The sequence below is a fragment of the Homo sapiens genome, chromosome 11 (assembly GCF_000001405.40).
Source record: "Homo sapiens chromosome 11, GRCh38.p14 Primary Assembly".
In the NCBI taxonomy this organism is placed as follows: Eukaryota; Metazoa; Chordata; class Mammalia; order Primates; family Hominidae; genus Homo; species Homo sapiens.
In genome coordinates, this window is record NC_000011.10 from 57,497,288 (window position 1) to 57,512,516 (window position 15,229).

The window sequence follows — 15,229 nt, forward strand, 5'->3', positions numbered from 1 at the left end:
GGTACACCAGGTTGACCTGTCCAGGATCCAGCCTGGCATAAACTCACTTTGTGACCTTGGACCAAACCACCCATCCTCTCTGGAAGGTGTGGAAAAATGTGGCCCCAAAGGCTGAATAAAGCCAGAGAGTCAGGGACCTTGAACGCATGTGAAGGGGCTGGACTTGATTCTGTAGGTGAAGCTAAACCACTGAAGGTTTTTCAGCAGTGTGTGAGCCAGTTCCCCATCTGAGATCTTTCTGGAAGTCACGTGAGTGACAGAGTACAGAGAAAAAGAATCAGAGGCAGGGAGACCAGCTGAGAAAGCTTGCTGTGGCCCAGGAGAGAGGGGGAAGGCCTGCATTGGGATGATGACAGAGAAAGGAGAGCGGAGAAGTCAGACCCGTGGGTCAGCACTAGCTGCTGCTCACTCGGCCCCACCCGGTTCTTGTGTCAAGACAAAAAGAAAACCCAGGTGGCCTCATACCTTGATTCCTGGGAACGTAATGGCAGAAGAGGCGTAAGAGCCAATCATGAGGGCCATTAACGTGGAGCGCAGGTTCCCAAACATGTTGGGCAGCTGAGGAGGGAAAGCAGCACCCATGAGGTGGGGACACCGTGACCCTTGCCCAGCATTCCCAGCCCTGCTCCATACAATAGCCCCAGGAGACGCAGCAGAAAAGCCCCAAGGTAAAACAAACAGAAAAATCAATGTGGGAAACTGTACTCTGCCCCCTGCCTACACAGTCACAGTGCCCTTTAGCTTCAAAAAGGCTCCCAGACACCCCTCAGAGAGACATTTTGTTAATTTTGTTTAATTCCAGGTTTCCCAAGTTTGTTACGTAACACCTCTGAAAAACACATGGAATAGGTGCTTAAGAAACACTGATCTTGGCTGGGCGCAGTGGCTCATGCCTGTAATCCCAGCACTTTGGGAAGCCGAAGCTGGTGGGAAGCTTGAGGTCAGGAGTTCAAGACCAGCCTGGACAACATGGTGAAACCCCATCTCCACCAAAAATACAAAAATTAGCTAGGCATGGTGGCATGCGCCTGTAATCCCACCTACTCCAGAGGCTGAGGCAGGAGAATCGCTTGAACCTGGGAGGTGGAGGTTGCAGTGAGCCGAGATCGCACCACTGCACTTTAGCCTGGGTGACAGAGCGAGACTATGTCCCCACCCCCCAAAAAAAAAGAAAAGAAAAGAAAGAAACAGTGATCTTGTCCAACCCATTTGAGATGAGACAATTGAGACCCAGGGAGGAAAAGTGTACTCAAGTTCACAGAGCACATTAATGGCTTTCTCCCCATTGTCGTTGTCCCAGCCCTAACCCAAGGCTGTGACCATGGCTGTGTCCCGGTAATAGGCAGTGCCTCTTAACCCTCTCGGTTGACGTCCCAGCCCAGTTTCTGCCTAATCAGGACAAATCACATCCTGGGAGGTGAGGGTGGAAATAAGGGAGGGAACTGAGCCAGGGCAGACAGTCTCCAGAGGAGGTGGCTCTGACGCAGAGCAGGGTCAGAACCCACACCAGGAGAGAATTTAATTGATCATGTGTTCCACTCACCTGCCTCAGCCAAGCCCTCAGGGCAGGGGAAGGCAAAGTCAGGATGCCCTTCGCACACACCCTCCTCTGGCCCCACCATCCTCCCCAAGTCACTAGATCCCACAGCTGAGAAGGACCTTAGGATCCGTACAAAGCCTAAACACACTCCACAGAGGGGGAAACTGAGACTCTGAAGGGAGGCCTCAACAGCTCTGGTAAAAAAGGCGTTTAGGCCGGGCGCAGTGGCTCACACCTGTAATCCCAGCACTTTGGGAGGCCGAGGCGGGTGGATTGCCTGAGCTCAGGAGTTCGCGACCAGCCTGAGCAACACGGTGAAACCCCGTCTCCACTAAAATACGAAAAAATTAGCCGGGCGTGGAGGCGTGCACCTGTAGTCCCAGCTACTCGGGAGGCTGAGGCAGGAGAATTGCTTGAACCTAGGAGGCAGAGGTTGCAGTGAGCCGAGATCGCGCCACTGCACTCCAGCCTGGGCGACACTGCGAGACTCCGTCTCAACAAAAAAAAAAAAAATGGTGTTTAAACACATATAACTAAATTATCCTTCCCCCTTCCCCTGAAGTGGCTGGCTCAGGAAAAACCTCTACCCACTCAGGCAGAGGTTTTCCTGCACCCTGCATCCGTGAGGCACCACTGCCAAGGACGCCACGGAAGGCTGCCAGGCCTGGAGAGGGGCAGGGCCCCCTCCCCTCCAAGGGGCCACAAACGCTGTCTGCGCCCAGTACCGTGGGTAAGGCGAGGCCGGCCGGCTAACCCCGGGCTGGCGGCCTTGCAGCGTGCGTGGCAACAGCAGCTGGGCCCGCAAGACTCAGCACGGGACGTCCTCGTCCAAGTCTGGGCCAAGAGCAGCGGCCCAGGGGGCGGGGCCGGCCAGAGGGAGCGGGGAGAGGCTGAGGGGCGGTGCCAGCGCCGGACCCTGCCATTGGCTGGAGATTACAGGAGGCGGGGACATAGCAGGGAGGAGCCGCTGGACAAGCCCCACCCGGCCGCCAGGGAGGGTCTGAGGTCAAGCGCCGGAGAGAAGGGATTTAGGGCCCTGGGCCAAGTTGCACAGCAGGGAGAAGGGGCTGCGCAGAGGGGCGGGGAGAAAGGGATCCGCTTCCTTCCTTTAGAGCTGTGAAATGTCCCCGGTTGGAATTAAAGGCGGCTGCTGGGGAGAGGTGAAATTCAGCCAAAACCACCCAGTCAGGCAGCCCTTCTCAGAGATAAACAGTCCGAGCCAGCCCGGCCAGGAACCTTCCCCTCCAACCTCCCTAAGCCTTTAACACTCCTAAGCCTTTAACGCGTTTACACACTCACATAAATAAACACACTTTGAGCAACACACATACACCACTCACCACATGTAATAGGTCAAGCCATGTGCACGACGAGGTGTCGACAATTTCATATGGTTCAACCTAGTACACTCACAAACACACCTACCAACTCATGGCTTTCACAGGGACGGGGTCACACACCCACTCTCCCACGACATGGCAAGCGTGCACACGCTATCTCAAGCTGCTCCCTCCCCCTCAAGATCATGTTACCCAGTTTTATTTTCTTCCCAGCACCTATGACGACTGACATAATTTATTAGTTTACTTGTTTATTGGGTTATCTGTGCCCCTCACCCCCAAAATGTAACCTCCAGCAGGGAGGATGACTCGGTCAGTCCTGATTGTGCTGTAGTCCAGGACCTAGAACAGAGCTCCATGGACATTCATGGGCTCTGTACACACAAACACACACATTAACATACACCCCGACACACAGCCTCATCCACACACACACAGCCTCACACCTGCTCTTTGCAGCCACCTGCACAGTTTCTCACACACTCACTTGATCTAGTGATCTGCGTCCACAGGCCCCTCCCCCAGCCCATTCATACTGCCCTCACCCCACTCACTCTGCCCTCACCCCACTCGGGGGAACTCTGCTGCCAGGCCAGGCCTGTGACACTCACCGTGAGTGAAGTGAACGTTAGGCAGATGCCACCAAAGCCATTCAGGGACAGCGCCAGGAATATCAACGGAGACAGAGCTGGAAAGGGGAAAGCAGCAGATGAGGGCATTTGGGGAGCTGTGGGAAGCCAAGGGCGGGAGCTGGGGTAAACATCCGCCTTCATCCCACCTATTCTTTTCTTGTGGGGCCACAAGAGGACAGACAACTCACCTTCCACGTCCCGGGAGGCCAGGGCCATGAGGGTGCAGGACGCAGTGAAGCAGGCACTGTGGAGACACAGGGAAGGGCGAGGGGTTGGCCTGTGAGCACCCCCCCTCCCCTCCCCCTGCAGCACGGTCCCTGTCCTCCCGTTCCCCATAGCCCAGCCACCTCACCTGCCAACCAGCCGCACGGGTCGGGGGCCAAAGCGGTCCATGAGGATCCCCAGTGGCAGGGTGGTGGCGCTGAGCACGAAGGAACCAATGGTGAAGCCCAGGTTGAGCATCTCGTCCTGCTGGTCACAGCCTGGCCACCTGCGCTGCTCATCCTGGGTGGTGTTGGTGCTGCTCTCAGCTGAGGAGGGGGAAGGGAGGGCTCAGCACATGACACCAGGAACAGCTGGGCACAGGAGACAGCAGCCCACAGTCAGGCGGCCTGCTTTCAAATCCCATGCCAAGTGCCTTTGGGGGTACCCTAGAGTCACATCTCCTCTGATGGGGCTGCTCCAGAAATGGCAGCCATTAGTACCTGACCCTGGGAGAGTCTTGTGCACACACAGCCTGAGGCTTCAACTAGCTCAAATGAAATACTGGACATAAAAGTATTTACTAAGTTGTAATATGCACTCAGTGTCCAAGCTTAGGGGGTTGTGGACCCCCAACAAGAAGTGCCCCCATATCTAGAGGCAAAGGCAAAGGCAGTGAGTGGTACTCTAATGGCTATAACAAGAATTCATTAAAATGGCCCGGCGTGGTAGTTCATGCCTGTAATCCCACCACTGTGGGAGGCTGAGACAGGCAGATCGCTTAAGCCTACAAGTTTGAGACCAGCCTGGGCAACATGGTAAAACCCCATCTCTAAATAAAAAAAAGAAATTTAGAAAGAACACTAAAACTTAGAGGAAGCTTTCCCGATAAATGATAGTCTGATAAAATAATAGCTAATACTTATTGAGCACTTAACTATGCTCCAGGCACTGTTCTAAACACAACAGCCCCATAAGTCAGTTAATAAAGTATCCCGTTCCCTAGGTGATGAAGCTGAGGCACAGAATGAGAACCAGGCACTGCCCTCCAGTCCCCTCTAGAAGTCCACTTGGAGGACTTGTCCTTAACGGTAAACTGCCAACTTGGAGTTGTGACAAGTTAAGGAGAAAAGCTAGTGATAGGAGACAAAGGGCTGCTTCGCTTTACTCAATGCTCAGTGAGTCATGAGGTGGCTGCCCCCAGGCCTCCAAGTTGTCACTTGGCAGCACTGCCAAGGGCAAACTCAGGGTGCACCTGGAGCAGGCAGACAGACCAGGGTCTGAATTCCCACCACCAGCCTTACTAGCTGTGCACCTTGACCAAGTAACTTTCTTCTTGTCTGTAAACCGGACCAAAGAATGCCTAACCCACGACCTCCTTAGGAGGATTAAATTGGAGACAGTAAACAAAGAGCTTTGCACAGTGCCTGGCCCAGAGAAAGTGCTCCTGAAGGATCTGAGGAAGGGGTAGCTGACCCTCCTGGTGGGTCATGTGGTAAGCACGTACTCTAGGAGCTGGGCATCCACACTACATGAGACAGGAAGTTCTCAGCTCTAGAGTGACAGGTGCTGCTAAAAGAACAAACCAGGCCAGGTGCAGTAGCTCACACCTGTAATCTCAGGACTTTGGGAGGCCAAGGTGGGTGCATCTCTTGAGCCCAGGAGTTCAAGACCAGCCTGAGCAACATTGGGAAACCTTGTCTTTACAAAACAAATTTTAAAAATCAGCCGAGCATGGCGATGCATGTCTGTAGTTCCAGCTACCTGGGAGTCTGAGGTGGGAGGATTGCTTGAGCCCGGGCGGTCGAGGCTGCAGTGAGCCATGATCACACCATTGCACTCCAGTCTGGGTGACAGAGCAAGGCCCTGTCTCAAAAAAAAAAAAAAAGAAAAGAAAAGAAAAGAAAAAGGAAACAAAAAAACCAACAAGGGGACAAGGGGATGTGATAATGCCTGGATACTAGGGGGTGGTAGAGGACATCTGCCCTCAGTAGTGAAAATGACCCCTGACTTTACATATCCAAAGGTCATGCAGTTGGCAGAAGAGTAAAGATAAAGGAATCTGTGTGTTGACATAAGGAAGAACACAAAGGCCTGGCAGATCCTGAGTGTTGACCAGCCATGGAAGGAACTGTCCTGGACAACAGAGAGTCTTCTTCAGTACCAGCTGCCAAGGAGGTGGGGAAAGTGCTCAGACACCTCCAGGAAGCACTTAGGGGTTGGACCACACAGCCTTTGGGGATCAGGCTAGCCCTATAATTTAGTGATCTTTATGATCACTGTCATTTCTCTACAGGTTTTTTTTTTTTTTTTTTTTGAGACAGGGTCTCACTCTGTCTCCCAGGCTGGAGTGCAGTGGTGCAATTATAGCTCACTGCACCTTTGACTTCCCAGCTCACTGTAGCCTTGACCTCCCGAGTTCAAGTGATACCCCCACCTCAGCCTCCTGAGTAGGTGTGTCTACAGGTGCATGCCACCACACCTGGCTACTTTTTGTATTTTTTGTAGAGATGAGGTTTCAACTGTTGCCCAGGCTGGTCTCGAACTCCTGGGCCCAAGTGATCTGCCTGCCTGGGCCTCCCAAAGTGCTGAGATTACAGACATGAGCAACTGTGCCCGGCCTCTCTACAGGTTTATCTGCATTGGTTTATTCATTCTACACCCACTTACTGGATATTTACTATACAACAGCACTGTGCTGGGACAATGCGTAAAGCAAGAAGAAATACAAAGATGATTTTAGACCAGAGGCTGCACACCGGTGACCAGCAGTTGCCCCCACCCATGTTTTGCTCTGCTGGCAATGTTGACCCTTATAGTGTTGTAAATTATAATTGGGTGCCAGTTTAAAATCAGGAGTTATCACATAAAAATCCAGATGTCTTGCTTCTCTTTAAAAAGTTAGAAGATCGGCCAGGTGCGGTGGCTCAAGCCTGTAATCCCAGCACTTTGGGAGGCCAAGGAGGGTAAATCACAAAGTCAGGAGATCGAGACCATCCTGGCTAACACGGTGAAACCCCATCTCTACTAAAAATACAAAAAAAAAATTAGCCGGGCGTGGTGGTGGGCGCCCGTAGTCCCAGCTACTTGGGAGGCTGAGGCAGGAGAATGGCGTGAACCCGGGAGGCGGAGCTTGCAGTGAGCCGAGATCGCGCCACTGCACTCCAGCCTGGGTGACAGAGCAAGACTCCGTCTCAAAAAATAAAAATAAAAATAAAAAGTTAGAAGATCTAGGCATGACTGTAGCTGAGTGGAGGCCATCCCCTTTTGCCAGGGCTTGCCTTCTCAAGGTCATACACGTCCTCACCTCTCTTTTAATTCCCAGACATTGCTATTCTACACCTGCCCTGCTTTACCCAATTATTAGCAAATGCCTGGCCTCAGCTGGCATTTCCATTTGCAGTCCCTGAATTAGACACTGTTCCTGCTCCTAAGTCTTTGATAATCAAATGACAATTTCCCTCACAAACAATCCCACTAGCGTGCAAATTTACACCTACTTTGTGCCAATATTTTCTATAGAGAATCCCATTTAATCCATGCAATAACCCTAAAGGGTGAGTACAATGGTCCCCATTTTATAAATGGTAAGGGTCCAAGAAGCAAAGCAATTCAGTTAGCCAGCTTCTTACAGGCAGGCTCAGATTCAAACTCAAGATAATCTCCAAAGTCAACAGTTTTCCACTGCACCAAAGGGCCTCTGTGTTACATGGGCCAGTTAGCTCAGTAAGTTTCCCAAGCACACATCAGTGCCAGAAAGGACATGTGCTCTTCCACTAACGGAGAATCCATTCCCGTGAAATGCTAATGACTTAGTGTCAATTCATACATTCATTCCTGTTTTATCGATCAGCCTTTTATGAGTTTGACCAACGAGTTCATTCATAAGGAAGGCTTGATCACTCTGAGTAGTTGGATAAAAATCCAAATTCTGAACTAAAAGGAGAGCCAGCCCAAGATGCCAAGACCTCTTAGAGCTGTGTCCATGTTAATGACAACAGAAAAGGTCTTTGGCATCAACCCCCAACCCCAACATTTATAGACAAATAAAGCGAAGCATAGGATGGGACAGTGATTAAGCTGGGCTTGGAAGCCAGGGAAAGCAGTGTTTCCCAATATGTGGTATGCACAGCATGTGAGCACTCAAGATGGGTTCAGGAAGTAACATGGAGCAGTTTTTCAGGTTTCATAGTTATTCGTTATTTGAATGTGTATTAAAAACATACATTGGCCAGCCGCAGTAGCTCGCACCTATAATCCCAGCACTTTGGGAAGCCAAAGCAGGTGGATCACTTGAGATCAGGAGTTCAAGACCCACCTGGCCAACATGGTGAAACCCTGTCTCTACTAAAAATACAAACATTAGCCGGGTGTAGTGGTGGGTGCCTGTAATCCCAGCTACTCCAGAGGCTGAGGCAGGAGAATCGCTTGAACCCAGGAGGCAGAGGTTCCAGTGAGCCGAAATCACACCACTGCACTCCAGCCTGGGCTACAGAGAGAGACTCCATCTAAAAAAAACTAACAACAACAAAAAAAATAACAAAAAACGATACACGTATATACGTACATATATATGTATTAGAAACATACATGTATATGTATAACGTGTGGGGGTGGGTAACAGCAAACCCGATATTCCAAGAATATTACACTTTAGAATGAAGCTATTTTTTTTTAAGCAGACTGATTCAAAAGGAATTATTAAGTAAATAACACTAGCTATGGCAAAGGGAAATGGTAAAATCATGAAGGTAAACTGCAAATGACTAGGTTTGGGATGGTTGTGAAGCACCTGGAGTCTGGAAGAGCCGGGTTCAAATTCTAATTCCACTAGCTGTGCTGCAGAAACTCTCTGAGGCTCCATTATCTCATCTGGGAAATGGGGACTGTGGTCTCAACCACCTGAGAGGCTGGCTCTGAGAATTGTCACACATACACACACAGCGAACACTCACAAAATGATCCCATTTTCTTTGTCTCCCTGCTCAGTGTTCCTTTCCTAACCCCATGATGCTTCCCTTTCCTGCCTCTGACATGGTCACATTCAGCAAAAACACCTTAGGGGTTGGGTGTGGTGGTTTATGCCTGTAATCCCGGCACTTTGGGAGGCCAAGACAGGAGGATCGCTTGAGTCCAAGAGTTTGAGACTAGCCCTGGCAACATAGTGAGACCCCATCTATACAAAAAATAAAAACATTAGCTGAGCATAGTGGCGCACACCTGCAGTCCCTGCAACTCCAGAGGCTGAGGTGGGAGGATCACTTGAACCTGGGAGGTGGAGGACGCAATGAGCTGAGACCACACCATTGCAGTCCAGCTTGGGTGACAAAGTGATACCCTGTCTCAAAAAATAATAGTAAGTAATTAATTAAATAAAATTTTAAAATTAGTCAGGTGTGGTGGTGTGCACCTGTAGTCCAAGCTACTCAGGAGGCTGAGGTGGGAGGATTGCTTGAGCCTGGGAGATCAAGGTTGCAGTGAGCATTGATCATGCCACTGCACTCCAGTCTGGTGACAGAGTGAGACCTTGTCTCAAAAACAAACAAACAAAATCTTAGGATTGGGCTCTCGCTGGTGTCTTGTCTATGGCTGGATTCCCCCAGGAGAGCCCTGGGCCACTGAAGGTCAGGGACATCCACACTATTCCCATGAGTCCCAGTAGAAAGGTTCTGGAGTCCAATGTGAAACTAAATCTTTACTCTGCCCTTTACTAGCTGTGTGACCTTGCACAAGTTACTTAGCATCTCTGAGCTTCAGGTTTCTCTTCTATAAAATGGGGTTAATAAAAATAATACCTGTATCACAGATTTGTAGTGAGGACTAAATATCTAACTAACAAACAGTAAATGCCTAAAGAACTTTAGCAATTGTTTTATTTGGGCACTTATGCTGGATATAGAGTAGTTTGTGATAAATTGAACTGCTTCTGCCTAAATTCTGAGAAACAGAGGCTCCGTTAGCTGTGATACCCTTATAGGTAGGTCAGAGGATGTGGCCAGGTAACCCCAAAGTTGATACTAGTGAATGCTTCAATAATGAGTTCCAGGCCAGGCACAGTGGCTCACATCTGTAATCTCAGCACTTTGGGAGGCTGAGGTGGGAAGATCACTTGAGCCCAGGAGTTCAAGACCAGCCCTGGCAACATAGTGAGAACCTGTCTCTACAAAAAATAAAAAATTAGCCGAGGCCAGGTGCAGAGGCTCACGCCTGTAATCCTAGCACTTTAGGAGGCCAAGAAAGGGGGATCACTTGAGGCCAGGGGTTCTAGATCAGCCTGGGCAACATGGTGAAACCCCGTCTTTACCAAAAATACAAAAAAATTAGCCGGGCATGGTGGCACAGGCCTGTAATCCCAGCTACTTGGGAGGTTGAGGCAGCAGAATCACTTGAACCCAGGAGGCGGAGGTTGCAGTGAGCGGTGATTGCGCTGCTGCACTCCAGTCTGGGCGACAAAGCAAGACTGTCTCAAAAAATAAAAATAAAAAATAAAAAATTAGCCGTGCGTGGTGGTACATGCCTGTGGTCCCAGCTACTTAGGGGGATGAGACATGAGGATCACTTGTATCCAGGAGGCTGAAGATGCATTGAGCTGTGTTTATACCACTGGACTCCAGCCTAGGCAAGAGAACAAGACCCTATTTCTAAAATAATAATAATTGTAATAATAATAATGAGTTCCTCATTTGTTGAGCTCTTCATATTTTTGTTAAATGACATCATTTGATCCTTAAATCATTGCTCTTTGGAAGAAAGGTTGACAATTGTCCACTTTGTTTTATAGACTTGGAAAGAATGGAGATCCAGAGAAGATAAGGTCACATAGCAAATAACAGCAAAGCCAGGTTCAGAATGTAGTAACAATCCCATCCGTAGTCTGAAATTTTATCTGCTTACCCTCATTTCATTTTCACAACAGCGCTATAAGGTATGGATTACTAGTCCCATTTTACCATATGGGGTAATTGAGGTATTAAGAAAATTAAGTGCCAGGCACGGTGGCTCACGCCTGTAATCCCGACACTTTGGGAGGCCAAGGCGGGTGGATCACCTGAGGTGAGGAGGTCGAGACCAGCCTGACCAATATGGTGAAACACTGTTTCTACTAAAATTACACAAATTAGCCGGGCATGGTGGCATGCACCTGTAATCCCAGCTACTCAGGAGGCTGAGGCAGGAGAATCGCTTGAACCTGGGAGGCGGAGGTTGCAGTGAGGTGAGATCGCACCACTGCACTCCAGCCTGGGCAACAGAGCGAGATTCCATCTCCAAAAAAAAAAAAGAAAAGAAAAGAAAGAAAGATAGAAAGAAAATTAAGCTTCAATCACCCAACAGCACATAGCGGAGTTGGAAGTCTGCCTCTTTCCACACACTATGGCAACACAGATTCCTGGTCTAATTCTGTGTTCTTGGGACACTGCAGAGGAAGACTGACACCCAAAGTGAATAAAGTTCCAAGAAGCAGAAAACGGACACTTTTGATCATGCAGCATGACTGAGGCAGATCAGGCAACAGCACCCACAGTCAGCCCGAGAGCCTCAAGGATTTTGGCTGGAGTCCCTTGAAGGGAAGAGAGGTAGGTAGAGATAGGCATGTTGTACCCTGCTTTGCAAGAATGGACAAATAAGTCCTAGAAAATTAAAAAATTAGCCAGGTGTGGAAGCACATGCCTGTAATCCTAGCTACTCAGGAGGCTGAGGTGGGAAGATCACGTGAGTCCAGAAGTTCAAGGCTGCAGCAATGATCACACCACTGAACTCCTGCCTAGCTGACAGAGTGAGACCCTATCTCAAAAATGAAACAAAACAAAAAAAAACAAATAAATTCTGAGAAAAGGACTGGGCACGGTGGCTCCCACCTGTAATCCCAGCACTTTGGGAGGTAGAGGCAGATGGATCACTTGAGGCCGGGAGTTCCAGAAAAGCCTGGCCAACAGGTGAAACTGCATCTTTACTAAAAATACAAAAATTAGCCAAGCATGGTGGTACACGCCTGTAATACCAGCTACTCAGGAGTCTGAGGCAGGAGAACTGCTTGAAACCAGAAGGCAGAGGTTGCACTGAGCCAAGATGAAGCCATTGCACTCCAGCCTGGGTGACGGAGACTCTGTCTCCAAAAAAAAAAAGAAACAAAGAAAAAATTCACTTTGGTCACCTCTAGTAATCCCTAACAGCCAGATTTAGAAGCATACCCACTTCTGGGCAATTTACAACACCAGGTGGATATCTCACACTATATACAAAATCAACTCAAAATGGATCAAGGATCTAACTATAAGAGCTAAAACTACAAAACTCTAAGAAAACACAGGCCGGGCATGGTGGCTCACACCTGCAATCCCAGCACTTTGGGAGGCCAAGGCGGGTGGATCACGAGGTCAGGAGATCGAAACCATCCTGGCCAATGTGGTGAAACCCCGTCTCTACTAAAAATACAAAAATTAGCTGGGCATGGTGGTGTGTGCCTGTAGTCCCAGCTACTCAGGAGGCTGAGGCAGGAGAATTGCTTGAACCCAGGAGGCAGAGGTTGCAGTGAGCCAAGATCGTGCCACTACACTCCAGCCTGGGTGACAGAGCAAGATTCCGTCAGAAGGACAAAGGAAGGAAGGAAGGAAGGAAGGAAGGAAGGAAGGAAGGAAGGAAGGAAGGAAGGAGGGAGGGAGGGAGGAAGGGAAGGAGGGAGGGAGGGAGAGAGGGAGGGAGGGAGAGAGGGAGGGAGGGAAAGAAGGAAGGAAGGAAGGAAGGAAGGAAAGAAGGAAACACAGGTGTAAATCTTTGTGACCTGAGATTAGGCAATAGTTCCTTAAACATGACACCAAGATACAAGTGGCAAAAGAGAAAAATAGAAAATTGGACTTCAATATTAAAAACTGTTGTGCACTAAAGGACACCAAAAGAAAGTGAAAGACAACCCAATAATGGAAGGAAAATTTTTACAAATCATATGTAGGAGACTTATATCTAGAACATAAAGAACTCTTACATCTCAGTAATAGAAAGATAACCTAATTTTAAAGTGGGCAAAGGACCTGAATAGACCTTTCTCCAAAGATATACCAAAAGCCAATAAGCACAGGAAAAGATGCTCAACATCATTGATCAGTAGGGAAACACAAATCAAAATCACAAAAAAACTTTACATCCACTAGGATGGCTATAACAAAAAAAAGATGGGCAGGCCGGGCGCGGTGGCTCATGCCTGTAATCCCAGCACTTTGGGAGGCCGAGGTGGGCGGATCACTTGAGGTCAGGAGTTCGAAACCAACCTGGCCAACATGGTGAAACCCCATCTCTACTGAAAATACAAAAAATTAGCCGGGCGTGGTGGTGGACGCCTGTAATCCCATCTACTCAGGAGGCTGAGACACAAGAATCACTTGAACCTGGGAGGCGGAGGTTGCAGTGAGCTGAGATCATGCCATTGCATTCCAGCCTAGGCAACAGAGTGAGACTCCATCTCAAAAAAAAAAAAAAAAAAAAAAAAAAAGATGGGCAACGACACATATTGTTGAGGCTACAAAGAAAGTGAACCCTCATCACTGCTAACAGGAATGTAAAATAGGCTGGTCCCAGTGCAGTGGTGTTTACACCTATTGATCAAAACCAGTTCCTTTTCCACTCCCACTGCTTCACTTGGCTAGTCTTAAAAATATATATATATGAGAAATTAAAAATTAAAAAATTAAAATTAAATTTAAAAAAATGTAAAGGAGGCCAGGCACAGTGGCTCACGCCTGTAAATTCCAGCACTTTGGGAGGCCGAGGGGGGTGGATCACCTGAGGCAGGATTTCAAGACCAGCCTGGACAACATGGTGAAACCCCATCTCTACTAAAAATACAAAAATTAGCCGAGCATGGTGGCGGGCGCCTGTACCTGGGAGGCTAAGGCAGGAGAATCGCTTGAACCCAGGAGGTGGAGGTTGCCCTGAGCTGAGATAGCGCCATTGCACTCCAGCCTGGGCAACAAGAGAGAAATTCTGTCTCAAAAATAAAAAAAAAATTTTTTTAAGAATATGAAATAGTGTAGCCACTTTGGAAAACAATTTGGTAGCTCCTCAAAATGTTAAACATAGTTACCCTTGCAACTGACCAGCAATTCCTAAGAAAAATGAAAGCATACCTCGACATTAAAAACTTTACAAGGGCTAGGCGGGGTGGCTCACACCTATAATCCCAACACTTTGGGAGGCCCAGGAGGGAGGATCACTTGAGCCCAGGAGTTCGAGACCAGTCTCAGCAACATAGCATGACCCAGTCTCTATAAAAAAATTTTTTTTTAATTAGCTGGATGTGTTGATGCGGGCCTGTAGTCCCAACTATTCTGGAGGCTGAGGTGGGAGGATCATTTGAGCCCAGGAGGTTGAAGCTGCAGTGAACTGTGATTGTGCCTCTGCACTCCAGCCTGGGTCACTGAGTGAGAGACCCTGTCTCAAAAAAATTAAAAAAAAAAAGTCCAGAAGAACATTTGGGTCTCACTCTGTGGCCCAGGCTGGAGTATAGTGGCACAATCATAGCTCACTGCACATTCAAACTCCTGGCCTCAAGTGATCCTCCTGCCTTAGCCTTGAAATAAGCTTGGATTACAGATGAGCCACCACACCCAGCCAGACCATTATTCATAATAGCCAAAATGTGAAAACAACCCAAATCTCCATCAACTGACAAATGGATAAATAGAATGGTGGTTGATCCATACAATGGAGTATTTACTCAGCAATAAAAAGAAGTCCTGATACATGCTACAAGGATGAACCTCAAAAACATTATGCTAAGTGAAAGCAGCCAATCACAAAAGGCTACATATTACAAGATTCCATTTAAATGAAATGTTCAGAATAGGTAAATCTAACTTTTATCACAGGCAAAGCTATGACAGGAAATAGATGAGTGGTTGCCTAGTGCTTGGGGGCAGAGGTGGGGGTGAGGCGAGTGAGTACTGCTAATGGTACAGAGTTACTTTTGGGGATAAAGAAACTGTTCTGAAATGGACTCTGGTGATGGTTGCACTACTCTGAACATACTAAAACTGTTAAATTATATACTTGAAATGGGTGACTTGTGAGGCATGGAAATTATATCTTAATAAAGCTGTTTTACATATTTTACATATTTAAAAATGCAGGTGGAGGGATGAGCCCTCTAAAGAGAAGCAGGAGTTTGAGGAGGTTCTAAATATTGTGTGGTGGGTACTGAGGCATATAAATTTGTCAGACCTCATCAAAATGTATGATGTAATCTTCAAGAAAGTTGATTTTAAAGAAACACCACCAGCACCAGGTGGAGAAGGCAGGAAGAAGTTACACAAGGGGTAGGCCAAGAGTGGTGGCTCATGTCTATAATCCCAGCACTGCGGGAGGCCGAGCCGGGTGGGTGACTTGAGGTCAGGTGTTCGAGACCAGCCTGGCCAACATGGTGAAAGCCCGTCTCTACTAAAAATACAAAAATTAGCCAGACGTGCTCGCGTGAACCCAGGGGGAGAAGGTTGCAGTGAGCGAAGATCATGCCAATGCACTCCAGC

General features: G+C 48.4%; 1 protein-coding gene across 7 annotated transcripts in view, besides 2 other annotated features; it reads right to left on the bottom strand.

Moving 5' to 3' along the window:
- Nucleotides 1–15,229, bottom strand: part of SLC43A1 (solute carrier family 43 member 1) — a 31,169-nt gene that overhangs the window by 12,754 nt on the left and 3,186 nt on the right. For 3 of the 7 annotated variants that reach the window (NM_003627.6, XM_005274358.6, NM_001198810.2), the window contains 4 exons: nucleotides 3,865–4,042; nucleotides 3,701–3,756; nucleotides 3,492–3,568; nucleotides 466–558 (listed from right to left, as the gene is read on the bottom strand). In NM_003627.6, the coding sequence (NP_003618.1) occupies nucleotides 466–558; nucleotides 3,492–3,568; nucleotides 3,701–3,756; nucleotides 3,865–4,042 (404 nt within the window). Of the gene's footprint in view, nucleotides 1–465; nucleotides 559–3,491; nucleotides 3,569–3,700; nucleotides 3,757–3,864; nucleotides 4,088–15,229 lie in introns of all 7 variants that reach the window. The other 4 variants (XM_017018452.2, XM_011545320.4, XM_047427777.1 and 1 more) reach the window with 2 other exon arrangements.
- Nucleotides 2,775–3,550: an enhancer, noted in NCBI's record as "H3K27ac-H3K4me1 hESC enhancer chr11:57267535-57268310 (GRCh37/hg19 assembly coordinates)". NCBI's record gives its function as "activates a minimal SCP1, AML or CMV promoter by ChIP-STARR-seq in naive H9 embryonic stem cells {active_cell/tissue: H9 hESC(naive)}" and the evidence as "EXISTENCE:reporter gene assay evidence [ECO:0000049][PMID:30033119]".
- Nucleotides 3,551–4,324: an enhancer, noted in NCBI's record as "H3K27ac-H3K4me1 hESC enhancer chr11:57268311-57269084 (GRCh37/hg19 assembly coordinates)". NCBI's record gives its function as "activates a minimal SCP1, AML or CMV promoter by ChIP-STARR-seq in naive H9 embryonic stem cells {active_cell/tissue: H9 hESC(naive)}" and the evidence as "EXISTENCE:reporter gene assay evidence [ECO:0000049][PMID:30033119]".